This window comes from Homo sapiens, chromosome 8, assembly GCF_000001405.40.
Source record: "Homo sapiens chromosome 8, GRCh38.p14 Primary Assembly".
Classification (NCBI taxonomy): Eukaryota; Metazoa; Chordata; class Mammalia; order Primates; family Hominidae; genus Homo; species Homo sapiens.
This window is the reverse complement of record NC_000008.11, coordinates 208,344-227,682: the sequence shown is the minus strand read 5'-3', so window position 1 is coordinate 227,682 and position 19,339 is coordinate 208,344. Positions and strand designations below refer to the sequence as shown.

The window sequence follows — 19,339 nt, the reverse complement described above, 5'->3', positions numbered from 1 at the left end:
AGTAGAAAAGTTAATGTTGATTTTCTAAAGACAAAAAAATAATTCATTATTAGATTGTCTGTGAGACGACCGTCAATTTTTTTTTTTTTTTTTTTTTGAGGATAGAATCTCCCTATGTTACCCAGGCTGGAGTGCAGTGGCATGATCTTGGCTCACCAGAGTCTCCACCTCTCGGGTTCCAGCGATTCTCCTGTCTCAGTCTCCTGAGTAGCTGGGACTACAGGCACCTGCCACCATGGCTGGCTATTTTTTGCAATTTTAGTGGAGATCAGGTTTCACCATGTTTGCCAGGCTGGTCTTGATCTCCTGACCTCCAGTGATCTGCCTGCCTTGGCCTCCCAAAGTGCTGGGATTACAGGCCTGAGCCACCGTGCCCAGCTGCCCTCAATTTATAAATCAAGGAAATACTAGTTCTCTGGAACCAAAGTTCATGTTTGAAATAATTAGGAAAGAAAAATAAAATCTCATTGCTGAAAGAAAGACAAATAGCACAATTGATTATTGAAATTGCAGAAGAGGGCTGGGTGCAGTGGCTCACTCCTGTAATCCCAGCACTTCGGGAGGCTGAGGCAGGCAGATCACCTGATGTCAGGAGTTCGAGACCAGCCTGGATAAGATGGTGAAATCCCATCTCTACTGAAAATACAAAAATTAGCCTGGTGTGGTGGCATGCACCTGTAGTCCCAGCTGCTCAGGAGGCTGAGGCAGGAGAATCGCTTGAACCCAGGAGGTGAAGGCTGCAATGAGCCGAGATTGTGCTACTGCACTCCAGCCTGTGTGACAGTGAGACTCCGTCTATAAAAAAAAAAAAAGGAATTTCAGAAGAATTTACTGGACAGACTGTTACGTTGCTGTGTTCTGTAGCCCTGTGTTAACAGTTACAAGGTATTTTAGGTTTAAACACTTATATTTTAGTCATTCGCTATAGTTAACTATCAAAAAGTCCTGTCCACATCATGACAACCTATATAAAATTTGGAAACCTCTTCATCTATACAATGGAAAATTGGTAAAGTAAGTGTAGATGTTTAAGCTGATGAATTATTAATATTTAGGTACTGAAATGAGTGAGGGAATGTGATTATGTCATAGTTCTGGCATGGGACTTGGCGGGGCTCCCTCTGTTGCCTCTTGGTGGACGGCAAATTCGTGACCTGTGGAGACTGAAGGATAAACTGTCACCTTCATCGGAAACCCCAGTCCAGAAGGAAAGTCCTCATTTCAGGATATGCCACTTCGTCCCATGCATTTCCTTTTTCTTGTTCTGTTTTTTGGAGACAAGTCTTGCTCTTTTGCCCAGGCTGGAGTGAAGTGGCCTGATATCGGCTCACTGCAACCTCCATCGCCCAGGTTCAGGCAATCTTCCTTCCTCAGCCTCCTGAGTAGCTGGGATTACAGGTCTGTACCACCACACTGGCTAATTTTTTTTTTTCCTTTTAGGCGGAGTTTCGCTTTTGTTGTTAAGGCTAGAGTATTATGGTGCGATCTCGGCTGACCGCAACCTCTGCTTCCCAGGTTCAAGCGATTCTCCTGCCTAGGCCTCCTGAGTAGCTGAGATTACAGACATGCACCACCACGCCCAGCCAATTTTGTATTTTTAGTAGAGATGGGGTTTGTCCATGTTGGTCAGGCTAGTCTCGAACTCCCAACCTCAGGTGATCCGCCTGCCTCAGCCACCCACAGTGCTGGGATTACAGGTGTGAGCCATCTTACCTGGCCCTTTTTATTTTTATTTTTATTTTTGAGACAGGGTGTTGCACTGTTGCCCAGGCTGGAGTGTAATAGTGCGATCTCAGCTTACTGCAACCTCCACAATATGGGGTCAAGCAGTCCTTCTTCCTCAGCCTCCCAAGTAGCTGGGACTGCAGCTGTGTGCCACCATGTCTGCCACCATGTGCCACCATGTCTGGCTCATTTTTGTATTAGTAGACATGGGGTTTGGCTGTGTCGTACTGGCTGGTCTTGAACTCCTGGGCTCAAGTGATCTGCCTGCTTCAGCCTCCTAAAGTGCTGGGATTACAGGCGTGAGCCACCTTGCCCAGCCTATTTTTAACTTTTTAAGGAAATACCAAACTATGTTACAAATAAGCTGCACCATTTTATCTTCCACATACAGTATTTAAGGGTTGTGATTTCTCTCTGAGCTTGCCAACACTTGTTATTTTACATTTGTTGGATTATAGCCTTTCTAGTGTGTGTGAAGGAGTATCTGGTTGTGGTTTCAGTTTTGATGGCCGTAATGATAACGATGTTGATCATCTTTTCATGTGCTTGTTTTCCATTTGCATGTCTTTTTGGCGAAGTGTGTGTTCAGCTCTTTCTCCATTTGTAATTTGGTTGTTGTTGTTGAGTTATACAAATTTTTTATATATTGTAGTTAACAGACTGTTGTTGGATATATAATGCACAAATATTTTCTTCTTTTCTGTAGGTTGTCTTTTCAGTCTCTCTTTTTTTCTTTGGAGACCGAGTCTTGCTCTTTTCCCCAGGCTGGAGTGCAGTGGTGCGGTCTTGGCTCACTGCAACCTCCGCCTGCCGGGTTCATGTGATTTTCCTGCCTCAGCCTCCTGAGTAGCAGCGATTACAGGCATGGGCCACCATGCCTGGCTAATTTTTTGTATTTTTAGTGGAGACGGGGTTTCTCCATGTTGGTCACACTGGTCTCAAACTCCCGATCTCGGATGATCCACCCGCCTCTGCCTCCCAAAGTGTCGTGATTACAGGATTGAGCCACCACGCCTGGCCATTATTTATTTTATTTTTTTCTTTTTGAGACAGGGTCTTGTTCTGCTGCCCAGGCTGGAGTGCAGTGGTGCCATCTTGGCTTACTGCAACCTCCTCATTCTGGGCTCAAGCAGTCCTCGCGTCTCAGCCTTCCTAGTAGCTGGGACTACAGGTGTGTGGCACCATACCCGGCTAATTTTTGTATTTTTAGTAGATACGTGGTTTTGCTATGTCGTCTTGGCTGGTCTTGAACTCCTGGACTCTAGTGATCCACCTGCCTCGGCCTCCGAAAGTGCTGGGATTACAGGCGTGAGCCACCATGGCAGGTCTTTTTTGTTTGTTTGCTTTGAGACAGGGTCTTGCGCTGTTGCCCAGGCTGGAGTGCAGTGGTGCGACCTCAGCTTACTGCAGCCTCCACATTCTGGGCTCAAGCAGTCCTCCTGCCTCAGCTTCCCTAGTAGCTGGGACTACAGGTGTGTGACACCATGCTTGGCTACTTTTTGTATTTTTAGTAGAGATGGGGTTTTTCTATGTTGTTCTTGGTGGTCTTGAGCTCCCGAATTCAAGGGATCCACCTGCCTCTGCCTCCCAAAGTGCTAGGATTACAGGCATGAGCCACCATGCCCGGCTTATTTTTAACTTTTTGAGGAAATACCAAACTATGTTACAAATAGTCTGTACTGTTTATATTCCATATACAGTATTTAAGGGTTGTGATTTCCCTCTGACCTTGCCATCACTTGTTATTTTACATTTGTTGGATTATAGCCTTTCTAGTGTGTATGAAGGAGTATGTGGATGTGGTTTCAGTTTTGATGGCCATAATGATAATGATACTGATCACCTTCTCATGTGCTTGTTTTCCATTTGCATGTTTTTTGGCAAAGTGTGTGTTGTTCAACTCTTTCTCCTTTTTTAATTTGGTTTTTGTTGTTGAGTTATACAAATTCTTTGTATATTGTGGTTAACAGACTGCTAGATATATAACGTGCAAGCAAATATTTTCTTCCTTTCTGTGGGTTGTCTTTTCACTTACTTTTTTTTTTTTTGAGACGGAGTCTTGCCCTGTTGCGCAGGCTGGAGTGTAGCGCTGTGCTCTTGGCTCACCACAACCTCTGCCTCCTGGGTTCAAGCAATTCTCCTCCCTCAGCCTCCCGAGTAGCTGGGATTACAGGTATGTGCCACTATGCCCAGCTACTTTTGTATTTTTAGTTGAAATGGGGTTTGTTTACGTTGGTCATGTTGGTATTGAATTCCCGACCTCATGTGATCTGCCTGCCTCAGCCTCCCAAAGTGCTGGGGTTAGAGGCATGAGCCACCATACCGGCCTTTTTTTATTTTTTTATTTTTTTTGAGGTAGAGTCTTGCACTGTTACCCAGGCTGGAGTGCAGTGGTTCGATCTTAGCTTACTGCAACCTCCATAATCTGGGCTCAAGTAGTCCTCCCACCTCAGCCTCCCTAGTAGCTGGGACTGAAGCTGTGTGCCACCATGCCTGGCTAATTTTTATATTATTAGGAGAGATGGGGTTTTTCTATGTCATCCTGGCTGGTCTTGAACTCCTGGACTCAAGTGATCCTCCTGCCTCAGCCTCCCAAAGTGGTGGGATTACAGATGTGAGGCAGCATGCCCACCTTTCTTGATTTTTATTTTTTGAGACAGGGTCTTGCGCTGTCTACCAGGTTGGAGTGCAGTGGTGCGATCTCAGCTTACTGCAGCCTCCACGTTCTAGGCTAAAACAGTTGTCCTCCCTTAGCCTCCCTAGTAGCTGGGAGTACAGGTGTGTGGCACCATGCCTGGCTAATTTTTGTATTTTTTAGTGGAGACGTGGTTTTGCTATGTCCTTCTGGCTGCTCTTGAACTCCTGACCTCAAGTGATCCACCTGCCTCAGCCTCCCAAAGTGCTGGGATTAAAGGCATGAGACACCGTGCCTGGCCTATTTTTAACTTTTTGACGAAATACCAAACTGTTACAAATAGGCTGCACCGTTTATATTCCACATACAGTATTTAATGGTTGTGATTTCTCTCTGACCTTGCCAACACTTGCTGTTTTGTATTTTTTGGATTATAGCTTTTCTAGTGTGAGTGAAGGAGTATGTGGTTGTGGTTGCAGTTTCGATGGCCATAGTGATAATGATATTGATCATCTTTTCATGTGCTTGTTTTCCATTTACATGTCTTTTTGGCAAAGCGAGCGTTCAACTCTTTCTCCATTTGTAATTTGGTTGTCTTTGTTGAGTTATACAAGTTCCTTATATATTGTGGTTAACAGACTGTTGTTAGATATATAACGTGTAAATATTTTCTTCCTTTCTGTGGGTTGCCTTTTGATTTTTTTTTTTTAGACTGAGTCTTGCTCTGTTGCCCAGGCTGGATTTCAGTGGTGTGACATCGGCTTACCGCAATGTCTGCCTCCTGGGTTCAAGTGATTCTCCTCCTAGCCTCCCGAGTAGCTGGGATTACAGGCATGGGTCACCACACCCAGCAACTTTTTTGTATTTTTATTAGAGACTGGATGTCTCCATGTTGATCAGACTGTCTTGGACTGCTATTCACAGGTGATATGCCCGCCTGTGCCTCCCAAAATGCTTGGATTACAGGGGGAGCCACCACGACTGGCCAGTTTTTTTTTTGTTTTTTTTTTGAGGCAGGGTCTTGCACTGTTGCCGAGGCTGGAGTGCAGTGGTGCCATCTCTGCTTACTGCACCCTTCACATTCTGTGCTGAAGCAGTCCTCCTTCCTCATTCTCCCTAGTAGCTGTGACTACAGGTGTGTGTCACCATGCACGACTAATTTTTGTATGTTTAGTAGAGACGGGGTTTTGCTATGTCCTTCTGGCTGGTGTTGAACTCCTGGACTCAATTGATCCACGTGCCTTGGCCTCCCAAAGTGCTGGGATTACAGACGTGAGCCACCATGCCTACTCTTTTTTTTTTTTTTTTTAAAGACATGGTCTTGTGCTGTTCCTCAGGCTGGAGTGCAGTGGTGCCATCTTGGCTTACTGCAACCTCGATATTCGGGGCTCAAGCGGTCCTCCCACCTCAGCCTCACTAGTAGCTGGGACTAGAGGTGTGTGGCAGCATGCCTGGCTGATTTTTGTATTTTTAGTAGAGACGGGGTTTTGCTATGTCTCTCTGGATGGTCTTGAACTCCTGCACTCAAGTGATCTGCCTGCTTCAGCCTTCCAAAGTGCTGGGATTATAGGCATGAGTCACCTTGCCTGTCGTGTTTTTAACTTTTTGTGGAAATACCAAACTATGTTACAAATAGGCTGTACCATTTTATATTCCACATACAGTATTTAATGGTTGTGATTTCTCTCTGACCTTGACAACACTTGTTACTTAATATTTGTGGATTATAGCCTTTCTAGTGTGTGTGAAGGAGTATGTGGTTGTGGTTTCAGTTTTGATGGCCATAATGATAATGATATTGATCGTCTTTTCATTTCCTCGTTTTCTATTTGCATGTCTTTTTGGCAAGGTGTGAGTTCAACTCTTCCGCCATTTGTAATTTGGTTGCTTTTGTTGTTGAGTTATACATATTCTGTATGTATTGTAGTTAATGGACAGTTGTTAGATATATAATGTGCTAGCAAATATTTTCTTCCTTTCTGTGGGTTGTCTTTTTGCTTTCTTTTTTTTTGAGACAGAGTCTTGCTGTGTTGCCCAAGCGGGAGTGCAGTGGCAGGATCTCAGCTCATTGTCACCTCCGCTTCCTGGGTTCAAGCGACTCTCCTGCCTCAGCCTCCTGAGTAGCTGGGATTACAGACGTGCACCATTACAGCAGGCTAATTTTGTATTTTTGTTTGAGATGGGGTTTGTTTATCTTGGTCAGGATGGTCTTGAACTCCCGTCCTCAGTTGATCCTCCTGCCTCGGCCTCCAGAAGAGCTGGGATTTCAGGCATGAGCCACCGTGCCTGGCCCTAATGTTTGTATTTTTAGTAGAGACAAGGTTTAGCCATGTTGGCCAGGCTGGTCTCCAACTCCTGACCTCAAGTGATCCATCTGCCTCAGCCTTCGAAATTGCTGGGATGATAGGCATGAGCCATCATACCATGTCTTTTTTTTTTTTTTTTTTTGAGACAGGGTCTTGCACTGTTGCCCAGGTTGGAGTGTAGTGGCACGATCTCAGCTTAATGTAACCTGCACGTTCTGGGCTCAAGCAGTCCTCCTGCTTCAGTCTCCCTAGTAGCTGCTACTTCAGCTGTGTGTCACCATTCACAGCTGGTTTTTGTATTATTAGTAGAGATGGTGTTTTGCTATGTCATCCTGGCTGGTCTTGAACTCCTGGACTCAGGTGATCCACCTGCCTTAGCCTCCCAAAGGGCTGGGATTGCTGGCGTGAACCACAGTGCGCAGGGTTTAGGGTTTACAGTTTAGGGTTTAGGGTTTAGGGTTAGGGTTAGGGGTTAGGGGTTAGGGGTTAGGGGTTAGGGTTAGGGGTTAGGGTTAGGGGTTAGGGTTAAGGGTTAGGGGTTAGGGGTAGGGGTAGGGGTAGGGTTAGGGGTTAGGGTAGTGTAAATAATTTCACATTATTACTAATAACAAATTATTACTTATATTACACTATTACTTAATGTAAAGGCTATTAAGACATGTTTGTCTTCAAAGAATGGCGTTGGTTTCTGTGGGCAGTTTCTCCTCATGGAAAGGTAGTGCGTTCCTGCTAAATCATGGACAAAATGGGCCTCCAGGAGCTACAGGCTGCAGAAGCAGCTTCTCGTCTATGTCCTTCACTGCCTGATACTGTTGTTGACCTTGAAACCTTGTTTTGGGCTAGTTTTATTAACAGAGCTAGTATTTCCATGAGGTTCTACTACATACCAGGTTCCAGAAAGCTAAATGCCTTTTGTTTGTTATTATTCACTAAATACAAATCACAACTCTCTTCTCATTACACACACAACAAAATTTAGCTGAGGGAGATTGAGTGACTTTCCCAGGGTCGCACAGCTACTAAGAGCAGAGTCATGTTTAGATTCATGTGGGAATACTGAACACAGAAATGAACCAACGGAAACATCCTACATTCCAAAAGCCTACTCAAGCCATTTGTTCTTATTTTAAGGAAAATCTATCATGAATGCCAACATACATCCCTAACAACCCAGTGCTGTTACCCTCCAAACATTTTATGTCTTGCAAAGTATTAGAACTTCATATGTGAAGCCATACCACTCAGAGGGAATGCAAAATACATAATGACATCTCCTTTAGGATGTCCTTAGAGAATTCAAGGAAAAGAAGTTAAATAATTTAAAAGTGCTTTCGGGTACAGCTATTTAGCACTAGACAGTAAGATTAGACATAGATTGTAAAGATAATAATAGGGTTAGGGATAGGATTAGGATCTGGGTCAGAGTCAGGGCCAGAAGTATGCTTAGAGGTGGGGTCATGGTCAGGGTCAAGATCAAAGTCAGGGTCAAAGTTAGGGTCAGAATTAGGGACCAGGGTAGGGATCAGGATTTAGATTCAGGGTCAAAGTCTTGGGACAGGGTTAGGGTTAGGATTAGAACCAGAGCTTTTTTCTCCTCAGGACCCACCCGAGGACGGGTCACCATGGCTTTGGAGCACCTGGTAGTGTGGCATGTCCACAGTGAAGACCAGAGTTTCGTTGTCCTTAAGACTGACCTGGGGAGACGTGGCTGCAGGCCATTGAGGAAGGTGAGGAAAAACTTCCTGTCTGCTCCCCGTGTGCTGAGGAGGGAGCTCTGCCATGGGCTTTACTTTCACATGTTACATTCCACAAGTCTTGTTTTACAAAAGCATCCCTTCCTTGAGGCTTCGGCTGCTCATCACTGCTCATCATCATAACGTGCCATAACATACAGTAAGATTTGGGTTTGTTTCTGGGGAGAGATCTTGGTATAGAGAAAGGAGAAATGCTTAGAGCCACCATCAGGACAGTTGGGATGAAAGCTGGGGTTGGGCAGAGGCTGGAGGAAACATGTGCACCCCCTGTAAACACTTTTATTCTTGTTTTAATTACTCATTTTTCTTACAGTGTTAAATTAGTAAAAATAGTATTGAAAAATTGAAAAGTAGGCGTATTAAAACTTGCAACACCACTTAAGCTTAGATGTATTATTTGTACCTCAACATTTTTTATTTTGTTGAGAAAGTTTAAGGTTAATTGGCAGCATATTTCTAATAGTAGATAGAATAATGTCTGTTTTATAAACATTGACATCCTACATTACATGTGTCAACCCTGAAAATCTGAGACGGCTCTCAGATTTTTTAGAAAGTTTATTTTGCCAAGCTTGAGGATGTGCGCCCATGATGCATCCTTAGGAGGTCCTGACAACATGGGCCCAAGGTGGTCGGGGCACAGCTTGGTCTTACACACTTTAGGGAGACATGAGACATCAATCAGTATGTGTAAGATGTACATTGGTTCAGTCCAGAAAGGTGAGAAGGCCAGACAGGGGGCTTCCAGGTCATAGGTAGGTAAGAGACAAACGATTTCATTCTTTTGCATTGCTGATTACCCTCTCCACGTGAGGCAATCAGGTATGCATTTATCTCGGTGAGCAGGTGGGTGTCTTTGGATAGAATGGGAGGCAGATTTGCCCTAAGCAGTTCCCAGATTGACTTTTCCCTTTAGCTTAGTGATTTTGGGTCCCCAAGATTTATTTTCCCTTCATAAGGTTTTCCTATGAGTATTAATTATTCATTGTGTATTTTATTACACAAATAAGGCACAGATTTTTAAAAAATCATCAACTTCGTGGCTACCTATATAGACATAATTGCATAGAAGTTCAACTAAATTTGCAAACATCCCAGAATTTGGGTTTCCAATAATTCTTAGTGATTCTTTAAAAGGTAAAGTATTTTTTTCCCATAAAACATAGCAACATGTAAAATCACCCGTAGAATGTCCCGCCATTTTTGTTTTTCTAGTTTCCTCATTTTCTGCAAAGCCTCACTGAGGAGATTGACTTTGAATATCCTTTTACACTCTTCTGTTTTAGATAGCATTGTGGTAAAACATTGAATCATCATGGTCATAAGTTCTGTCCACATTCTTTCTTTCTTTGAATATTTTTTCCCAGTGAGCAATATTTGATTCTGCTGTATTATGGCTAAAAGGTAGGCATGGCAACAAAATAAAGACAGGAAGTCTTCGGAATAAGTGATCCCATCACAATGAATCAATTTGCCATTGGAACATATTTTTACAAAGTCACTCTTGTGAAAATATTTGGCTATGAATTGAAACAGAGTCTGTAAGGTTAATATTTTTCCTGGTCTAAGGTGAACAGCATTTTAGAGAATGAACCCAGGACACAACCACAGCACAAGAAAAAAATATGAGAATTAAGTTTACACATGTGTGTTACTACAGTAACAGAAAACATGTAAAGAACATTTGTTTTGATTTATATGTCAGTCTGCACTGTTTAATTTTTTGTGTCATAAATGCTCTTATTTAAAAAAATAGGACTAGTTAACAGTGTCAATTACTAGTAATTCATGGTATAAATAATTAAACAAGGAAGTGTTCAAAAAACAGTGTTTTAAATAAAGTTTTATTTTACATCTTTTTACTTACACAGAAATTGTCAAAAAAAAAAAAAAAAAGATTTCCCATGTAGCCGCAACCTAGTTTCCTCTCTTATTAACATCTTCTATTAGTGTGTCTCACATGGCTTATTAATATCTTACACAATTTGTCACAGTTAATGAACCAATACTGATAGACTAAAGTTCATATTTCATTTGGATTCCCTTAGATGTGTCTTACTCTGATCCAGGATCCCATCCAGGATCCCGCATGACATGTAGTCATCATGTGGGCTCTTCCTGGCTGTGACAGTGTGTCAGGCTTTCCATCTCAGGTGACCTTGATAGTACTGAGGAGGATTGGTCAGGCATTTTGTAGAATGTCCCTCATTGTCACTTCATGTTCTCAAGGTGAACTGTTACCTTTGATATTCACTTGGATCATTTTGCAGAGCTACTGTTTGTCAGGTTAGGGTTGGAATTCTTTTGCAAAGGAGATTTCTATGCAACTCCATTTGCTTATTCACCTATGCATACAAATACAGACACCTAGATAATTACTTTAAGCTTTAGCTATTATTCAACCCTGCAGCATTATGTTGCACAATTCATTCCTGTGTTGGCAATCGGTAGCTTTTTTTTATTGGCTCTTATTTTTCTTTGATATATTTTAATTTTTTTAGTACTTACTTACTTTCTGATACTTCCAGATTATCCTGGCTCCTATATTTACTCTCCCAGTTCTAGTATCAGACATTTCTTCAAGGAGCCTGATTCCTTTCAGAATGGTAGGAAAACTTACGTCTGGCTGCTGAAAGAGCACATTGTATCTTGTCCCTCATTAGTAATGCTAGGAAGTATATGTGTGTGTCTAACCTACCTATACACACCTAATTATAAAGTTTTCTATGTAGAACTGTGTGTATCTATATTAAACTAAACATAAGTTTACGTTTATGTCTCCACCTCTGATCTACTATCACATGAATTATTCTAGCCTTGTCGCCTTGCTAATTTGTAACCTCCCACTTCAACAGTGAGAAACCTGGTTCCCACCATCTGCGACTTAATGTAAGTCATTGTTTTATTCCAGATACAGACACTGTGGTTTTACAGTTGTTCACAGTTGCTTCTGTTGGAAAGAACTTTGTAAAATGGAATCCAAGGATGAAGTATAGTTGATTTGCCTTCAGCTTACAGATTCTATTCATTTTCAAAGTGACTTAGGTCAACACCATTTTCCCTACACCTTCAGTGAGTTTTTACTTACATTTGTGTCTTAGTCCATTTTGTGCTTCTGTAACAGAATACCTGAGGCTGGGTAATGTATAAGTAAAAAAGGTTCATTTGGCTCAAAATACTGGTGGCTGCAATGTCTGAGATTGGGCAGTTGCATCTGGTGGGGCCTCAGTCTTTTTCACCTCATGATGGAAAGTGGAAGGGGAGCAAGGTGTGCACCAGAGATCACATAGCAAAAGTGAAAGCAAGAGGGAAGCCAAGGAACCCAGACTCTTTTTAACTAGCTACTCCTGTAGGAATTAATCCATTCCTGTGACAGCAGAACTCACTCACCCCCATGGAGGACATTAATGTATTCATGAGAGATCCGTCCCCATGACCCAAACACCTTCCACTAGGCCCCACCGCCCCACACTGACACAGTGGGGGTCAAATTTCTCAAAAAGAAATAAAAATTTTTTTGAGACTGGGTCCGGCTCTGTCGCCCAGGCTGGAGTGCAAATGTGCAATCTCAGCTCACTGCAACCTCTACCCCCTGGGTGCAAGCGATCCTCCCTCTTCAGCCTCCTGATTAGCTGTGACTACAGGCACATGCCATCATGCCCATCTAATTTTTGTATTTTTGGTAGAGATGGGGTTTCACCATGTTGCCCAGGCTGGTCTTGAACTCCTGGCCTCCCAAAGTGCTGCAATTATAGGCATGTGCCACCATGCCCGGCTAAATTATAGTTTTCCATTGAAACATAAAATTTCTCTCTGTAGTAACCATCATTTTTGATCATAATCAAAGTAAGACTATTCTTGTTTTAAAAATAAGTCTAGTTTTGTTAGATTTTGCTTGATTATTTACATAAGTGCAGCAAGAACAGGAGATGACCACATAGGTGCTTTCAAGTTTCTTTGCTGGAAGTTTTCATACAGAATCTCAGATTTGACTTTTAAAGGCCTTATTCAGGCTAAAACCCAAGCCAAGCACATACTATCAAATTTCAGCCGCAGTCCTTATGGCTTTGTGTGAATTCCTCTCTTCTTGAGGCCCCCAAAATATCCCCAAATTCCTGGGCCTACCGGGAAATGACCTTCTTTACTAACCTGAAGGCTGTGAACCCTGTAATCTAGGTATCAGGCTGGCTTTTCTCAGAGTGCTGTTGGGAATGAAGATTTTGGTGTTCCAAAAAAAAAAAAAAAAAAAAAACAACGTGGGAACAAATGATGTCTTAGTGAGGCGAGCTTTACTTTCTGCATAAAGGGTGCTACTCAATAGCTGTCCAGCCACAAGAGCACACCAAACAAAGGAGACAGAGTTACTTATAACCTGATGTGTCTACCCTAGTGCTGTGTCCAGTTTCCACTGGCTGAAATAGGACCTCACATTTTACACTTTACCCGATTGACTATTAGTTTAACACTTTCTTAATTAGGTAAGGGGAATAGAACAAAGAAAGAAAAGGAAGTTGCCCAGGGATAGTTAAGGAAGCATCTCCAAATAAGGAATGGCATGTATTATGGGCTGGGGCTTGTCTAGTTCTGCCCAGGCATGCTGGAGCAAGCTAGGACAACTGATTTGGAATACACACACACACACACACACACACACACACACACACACACACGTATATATAAAAATAGTGGATAGCAATCTCAAAGTAAGAAATTAGCTAGGATGGTCTGGATCTCCTGACCTTGTGATCCATCCTCCTCAGCCTCCCAAAGTGCTGGGATTACAGGCATGAGCCACTGCACCCGGCACAATATTTAAAATAATAATTGGAATTATGACTCATTACTCTATACTGGCACATAGCATGGATAAGGAGGACATAACAAATTTACAGGAATTTTATATCATTTCTGAAAACATAACATTTTACCCATACAAATGTAACACAGGGAAGGTTAGGTATCTCTTTTTATTTGTATCTTATGTATGGTTTTCCTTATAAAAAATACATCCTACTTTACTTGTGAAACATGCCCTACTTTTCTTGCATGCTTTGCATGGGGTTGTTTCTAGTTATTCCATTATTTCTAATCTTTTTATTTACATATACTGATTATAATTTTAATACTTAGTAATCTTTTATTTTCCAGAGAAAACTAGGAAGTAGTCAGTTATAAACTGTCATATATTAGCATTCTATAGTAGGTTAGAAAATGTATGAATATACTGTCTCCCAACATCTAGAGGGATGTATTTCCTCATAATACAATTTCTCAGTGTGGCAGAAAAAAACATGTTTATTAACGGGCCAAAATATCTTTAGTCTTTCTGTAAAAACAGGAAGCCAAAAGTATATAAACTTGAATTATTTATGTTCAGTAATTAATGTTTTAGTATTGTATCTTATTTATAAATGGTCTAGATATTTAATGCAAATCTTTTACTTAGCTTAAGTTTAAGGTTAAAAATTAGCAAAAGTAGTTTGGAAACTACTATTAGGCAGATTTACTGTGAACAAATTATTTTTGAAATAATGTTTTTCGCTTTTCACAAGACGGCACCGAAAGCGAAGGAAGCTCCTGCTCCTCCTAAAGCCGAAGCCAAAGTGAAGGCTTTAAAGGCCAAGAAGGCAGTGTTGAAAGGTGTCCGCAGCCACACGCAAAAAAGAAGATCCGCATGTCACTCACCTTCAGGCGGCCCAAGACACTGCGACTTCGGAGGCAGCCCAGATATCCTCGGAAGAGCACCCCCAGGAGAAACAAGCTTGGCCACTATGCTATCAAGTTTCCGCTGACCACTGAGTGGGCCGGAAGAAGATAGAAGAAAGCAACATGCTTGTGTTCTTCGTGGATGTTAAAGCCAACAAGCACCAGATCAGACAGGCTGTGAAGAAGGTCTATGACAGTGATGTGGCCAAGGTCACCACCCTGATTTTTCCTGATAAAGAGAACAAGGCATATATGTTCGACTGGCTCCTGATTATGAAGCTTTGGATGTTGCAACAAAATTGGGATCATCTAAACTGAGTCCAGCTGGCTAACTCTAAATACATGTGTATCTTTTCACCATAAAAGAATAATGTTTTTCATAAGAGTGACAACTTAATTAGAATCAAATCTATAAGCTTTAAGATTTTACATTTCTGTAAGTATAATATTAGCTTATTTGACTAGAACTCAAGCAGAATAGGAATTTATGTTTGTTTTATATTCAAGTGATAACTTTGAAGACATAGTTTTATTACACCAAAAATTTTATATTAATCTCATTTAAGTAAGTTTTATCCAAATCATGTTAACTTAAAAAACATTTGATCAGTTCCTATATTTCTAGGAGTTTGGTGAATATTTATTTATAAATGGTTATTTTTTTCCAAGCCAAGTTAGAATAGAGCACTTTTATAGGATTTTATAAATGAATTTTGCAGTGCTATCCGGAGTTAAGAAAATATCACATATACATTACATACAGTAATAGATATACAAACACAAATAGAGATTTCATAGCTTTCATCCTGAAATTTCAGCCATGAATCAGGCATAAATATTCTGATGGTTAATTTTAGACATCTACTTGATTGGATTAAGAAACATACATAGCTGGTCAAACAATTTCAGCCATGAAACAGGCATAAATATTCTGATGGTTAATTTTAGACATCTACTTGACTGGATTGAGAGACACACGTAGCTGGTGAAACACAATTTCTGGGCATATCTGTGAAGGTGTTTCTGGAAGACACTGAGATAACCCTGACCCAGTGTGGATGGGCACTGATATGGTTTGCCTGTGTCCCCACCCAGATCTCATCTTGAATTGTAGTTCCTATAATCCGTACATGTCGTGGGAGGGACCCAGTGGGAGGTGATTGAATCATGGTGGTTGTTACTGCCATTCTGTTTTCATGGCAGTGAGTGAGTTCTCATGATCCAATGGTTTCATAAGGGGCTGTTCCCCTTTGGCTCAGCACTTCTTCTTGTTGCTGCCATGTGAAGAAGGACGTCTTTGTTTCCCCTTCTGCCATGATTGTGAGGCCTCTGCAGCCACGTGGAACTGTCAGCCCATTTAACCTCTTTGTTCTTTATAAATTGCTCAGACTCAGGTATTTCTTCACAGCTGTATAAAAATGGATGAATACAGGCACCATCCAATTGGTTGAGAGCCCAGATAGAATAACAAGGAAGAGGAAAGGTGAATTATCTCCTGAAATTGAAACATCCTTCTTCTCCTGCCCTTGACATCAGAATCAGTGTCTCAGAGCTTTGGCCTCAGAATCAGAGTTACACCATTGGCTTCCCTGATTCTGAGTCCTTTATATCTGGAGTGAGTCATGCTGCCAGCTTTCCTGGTTCTCCAACTTGGAGACAGGCTATTGTGTAACTTCTCAGCCTCCATAATTATGTGAACCAATTCCCCTAATGAGTCTTCTCTCATCTATCTACATATATCCTATTGATTCTGCCTTTCTGGAGAACCCTGACTAATGTTATTACAATAATACAAAATTCACTAGTTTATATAGAAGACTTGGTTTTTGTCTTTGCCCCATTTTGTATTTGTATTATAACTGTGTATCTGGAAAATGGAACAAGTTTTTATCTTCTTCATATGAGGGCCAAAGCTTTTTTCTCACCAATATTTTTGGAGATTTTTAAGATTTTCTTTTGTTTGGACATACAATCTTATGGAGGCTGAGAAATAAAATTTTTTCTATTTTATTTTTCAGCCCCAGATGTTTGCTTTTGCAGATTCTTGAGCACATTGAGAGCATGGAGAGCACTCCAAGGCATGGAGTGGGGTGCCTAAAGTTTCAGTGATTACAGGGAGTTGAGAGACTCAACTGGGAAAGGAAAAGTCTAAAAGGAGGCAATTTGGAAGATAAAAATTTTCTCAAAGGAGCGATTAAATTTCTAAATAATTCTTAGTAAAATCATGTAAACAGGAAAGGAAATAGAATTAGTTCCATATTGGTGGAACACATAGCAGAGGTTTGAGAAGGGAGAATTTAGTCAACTGAGAAGTTCTCATGAAAGGAGCAAGTTCAAGATCACAGAGACACCTTGAAACAAAAAGCCAGGAATAACTTCCAACCCAAGAGGAGAACAGAGAGGCCTCAAAACCAAAGCTAGGATAAGAAACTTGTAGCCCAAGAGTTATCTTCCAGACAAAGAAGCCTGAGATTCCAACGCAGCTTCAGAGAGTGCTCACTCAAAATGTTACTGAAACTGAAGGCTTTTTAATGACTTAGCCATGCCTGCAAAAGGCATTCCCTAAGGTGGCACAGAAGACGGAGCCCCCATATCCAAAGATAGCCAAGGAGAAAGAAAGACCCCTGTTGCCAGAGCCAGTGGGCAAAGGCAACAGAAAAGGAGACAAGGGTCCTAATGGGATGAGATCCTTTCGGATTTAGGCTTTTATACAAACTCCTGAGAACTGGCGGGTTGACAGCCATAAATGGGGTACCAAACTTTCTACTCATTGGATTACAAGTTCTCAGGCATCCAGAATGATGAACAAAATGACAATTTCTAGGGCTTCTGTGGGAGAGTATGGAAAGGTCTTTTTGAACCTTTTAATGCTGTCAACGGAAGAATGATGAGGTTCATAAATTTGGAAAGGAGACATTTCTTCATTTTTATGTTTATTTTTATTTTTTTTGAGACAGAGTTTCACTCTTGTTGCCCAGGCTGGAGTGCAATGGCGTGATCTTGGCTCACTGCAACCTCCACCTCCTGGGTTCAAGCGATTCTCCTGCCTCAGCCTCCTGATTAGCTGGGATTACAGATGCCCACCACCACACCTGGCTAATTTTTTGCAGTTTTAGTAGAGACAGGGTTTCATCATGTTGGCCAGGCTGGTCTGAAACTCATGAGCTCAGGTGATCCACTTGCCTTAGCCTCCCAAAGTGCTGGGATTGCAGGCATGAGCCACCCAACCAGTGAGAGATTTATTTCCTATAAAGGGTTGTAGCCTGCAGGGTTGTCCTTCTGACAGGCTGGGAAGCATAGCCTCCAGCCAGAAGCCAGAAACAGACTCTTCAAGGAGGAGGTAAAGGAAATAGCAATTTATGCTGACTGGAATGGCCAAATACATTTATTTAATAAGCTCCAGGAGGAGTCATGAATATTTATGGAAGGAGAAATGCATGCATGCACAATTGAGTTTCTGGCTTCTTCATGGGTCCCATGTACAAAAAATGGCAGTGTTAGCATGATCCCAGGGTGGAGTTTTCAGCCCTCTGACATTAAAAGGTGAAGCAGAGGACATGAAAACTCGCTCTGTGCATCCTCTGTACGCTGGCCAGAACCTCTCTGTTGTGGGTGGTCTCTTATCAGGCAAGAAAGGAGAGGTTGATATCGGTAGTGGAGGCTTTGAAAGGGCTGGTTTCTGTTAAATCCTTAGGGAAGAAAGCCTCATCATGGTTAGCAAAGGAGTGGGTTTAACGATGTGTATGTTAACCCCATCATCCCATCCTAGCAAAGCTGAGAACTCAGTTTTGAAAGTTACTCTGTGGTCCCCTCAGCCAAGAGTGGTTCTGTTCAGTCAGTTGGGAGCTTATAATTTAATTTTTGTTTATCAATGCTAATGCGAAAGAGTACGCTGTCTTCATGGCAGCTGAATTTGCAAGAAACTCCTTGGATGGGGTTAATGGCAGCTGTATTTTTCTGGGAGCTCTGCTTTAATTGGACAAAGTAAGTTGTGGTAAGATTTCTTCTTTTATCTTCAGTATCTCAAATGTTTTCATTTAAATAATCTTTATAACAACTTTTGATGTCTGAGTGGATTCCCATACAGTCATCTATTGTAAGACTTTCTGATTCCGTTTTTTTCCTTTGGTCATTATGAATAGGGCTTATGTAAATAATTGCATGGTAGCTTTTGATTGGAAATAACATCAAAGTAGTTGTCAAAATACTTAGGAATGTTATTTTTGGATTGTAAGGTGAGACTTGTTTAGCTTTGGAAAAAAATGCCCAACTTGTAATAGGGGAGGAAAAATAATTTTCTGTTTTCGGAATTCTTAGATGGGATGCTCTGTAAAAACTGACAGATTAAAATGAGAAAAACAGAAAAGTTGAAAAACACGTATACCTTATGGTTACATGGGAGATATTCAGGGAAAAATGAGTAAATCTCCAACAGGTGGCTTTCAATTCAAGCATAAATACTGTCTTCAACTTAAAGAAAGAAGATTTGAGGTGCAGTATTGGGGAGTTAACCAGCAAAAGCACATTAGACAAGGGTAAGGTTCATTATACAGACTTAAGTCCATGCATTCTCCATTGATAAGACTCTTTAGTGATTTAGTTATCCTTCTCTTCTTGGTGTCGAGAGAGGTAGCTTTTAAATGGTGATTTCCTTTATAGATGTAAATTTTCCTTACACAAGTGTAACTTCTCTGTTTTCACAACTTCCTTTGTTAGCATTTTTTTTTTTCAAAATAATTAGCTTGGAATAATTCTTAAGCCAAAGGGACATATTTTGGGGTTGCATATTCTGGTTTCCTACCATTATATTTTGGGGTGGCATATTTTGGTCTTATACACTGTGTTCCACCGGCAATGAAAAGAGTTCTTGTTTTTCCTCCAGCAATTTGTCATTTGTTAAAGAGTTTAGCAGTTCTAAGAGATATAGACCAGCTGTGCTATCTTTTTGTGGTTTTCAGTTCTCTAGTATGTTGAGCATCTTTTTGTAAGTGTACTTGCCATCTGTAGATCTTCTTTGGTGAGGCGTCTGTTCAGATCTGTGTGCATTTTTAATTGGGCTGTTTAACTTATTGTTTAGTTTTAACAATTTTTTATGTATTTTGAATACAAATTCTCAGATCTGTATTTTGCAAATATTTTCTTCAATATGTGGCTTGTCTTTTGGTTCTCTTAACAAGGTCTCTTCCAGAGTATAAACTGTAAATATTAAGAAA

At 41.2% G+C, this 19,339-nt stretch overlaps 1 pseudogene across 1 annotated transcript in view; it reads left to right on the top strand.

Annotated features, from left to right (window-relative positions):
- The window catches only part of RPL23AP53 (ribosomal protein L23a pseudogene 53), a 23,975-nt pseudogene extending 4,636 nt beyond the window's left edge, over window positions 1-19,339 (top strand). Inside the window, exons 3-4 of the transcript NR_003572.2 lie at window positions 8,266-8,393; window positions 13,973-19,339. The product of NR_003572.2 is annotated as a ribosomal protein L23a pseudogene 53 (transcript). The remainder of the gene's footprint in view (window positions 1-8,265; window positions 8,394-13,972) is intronic.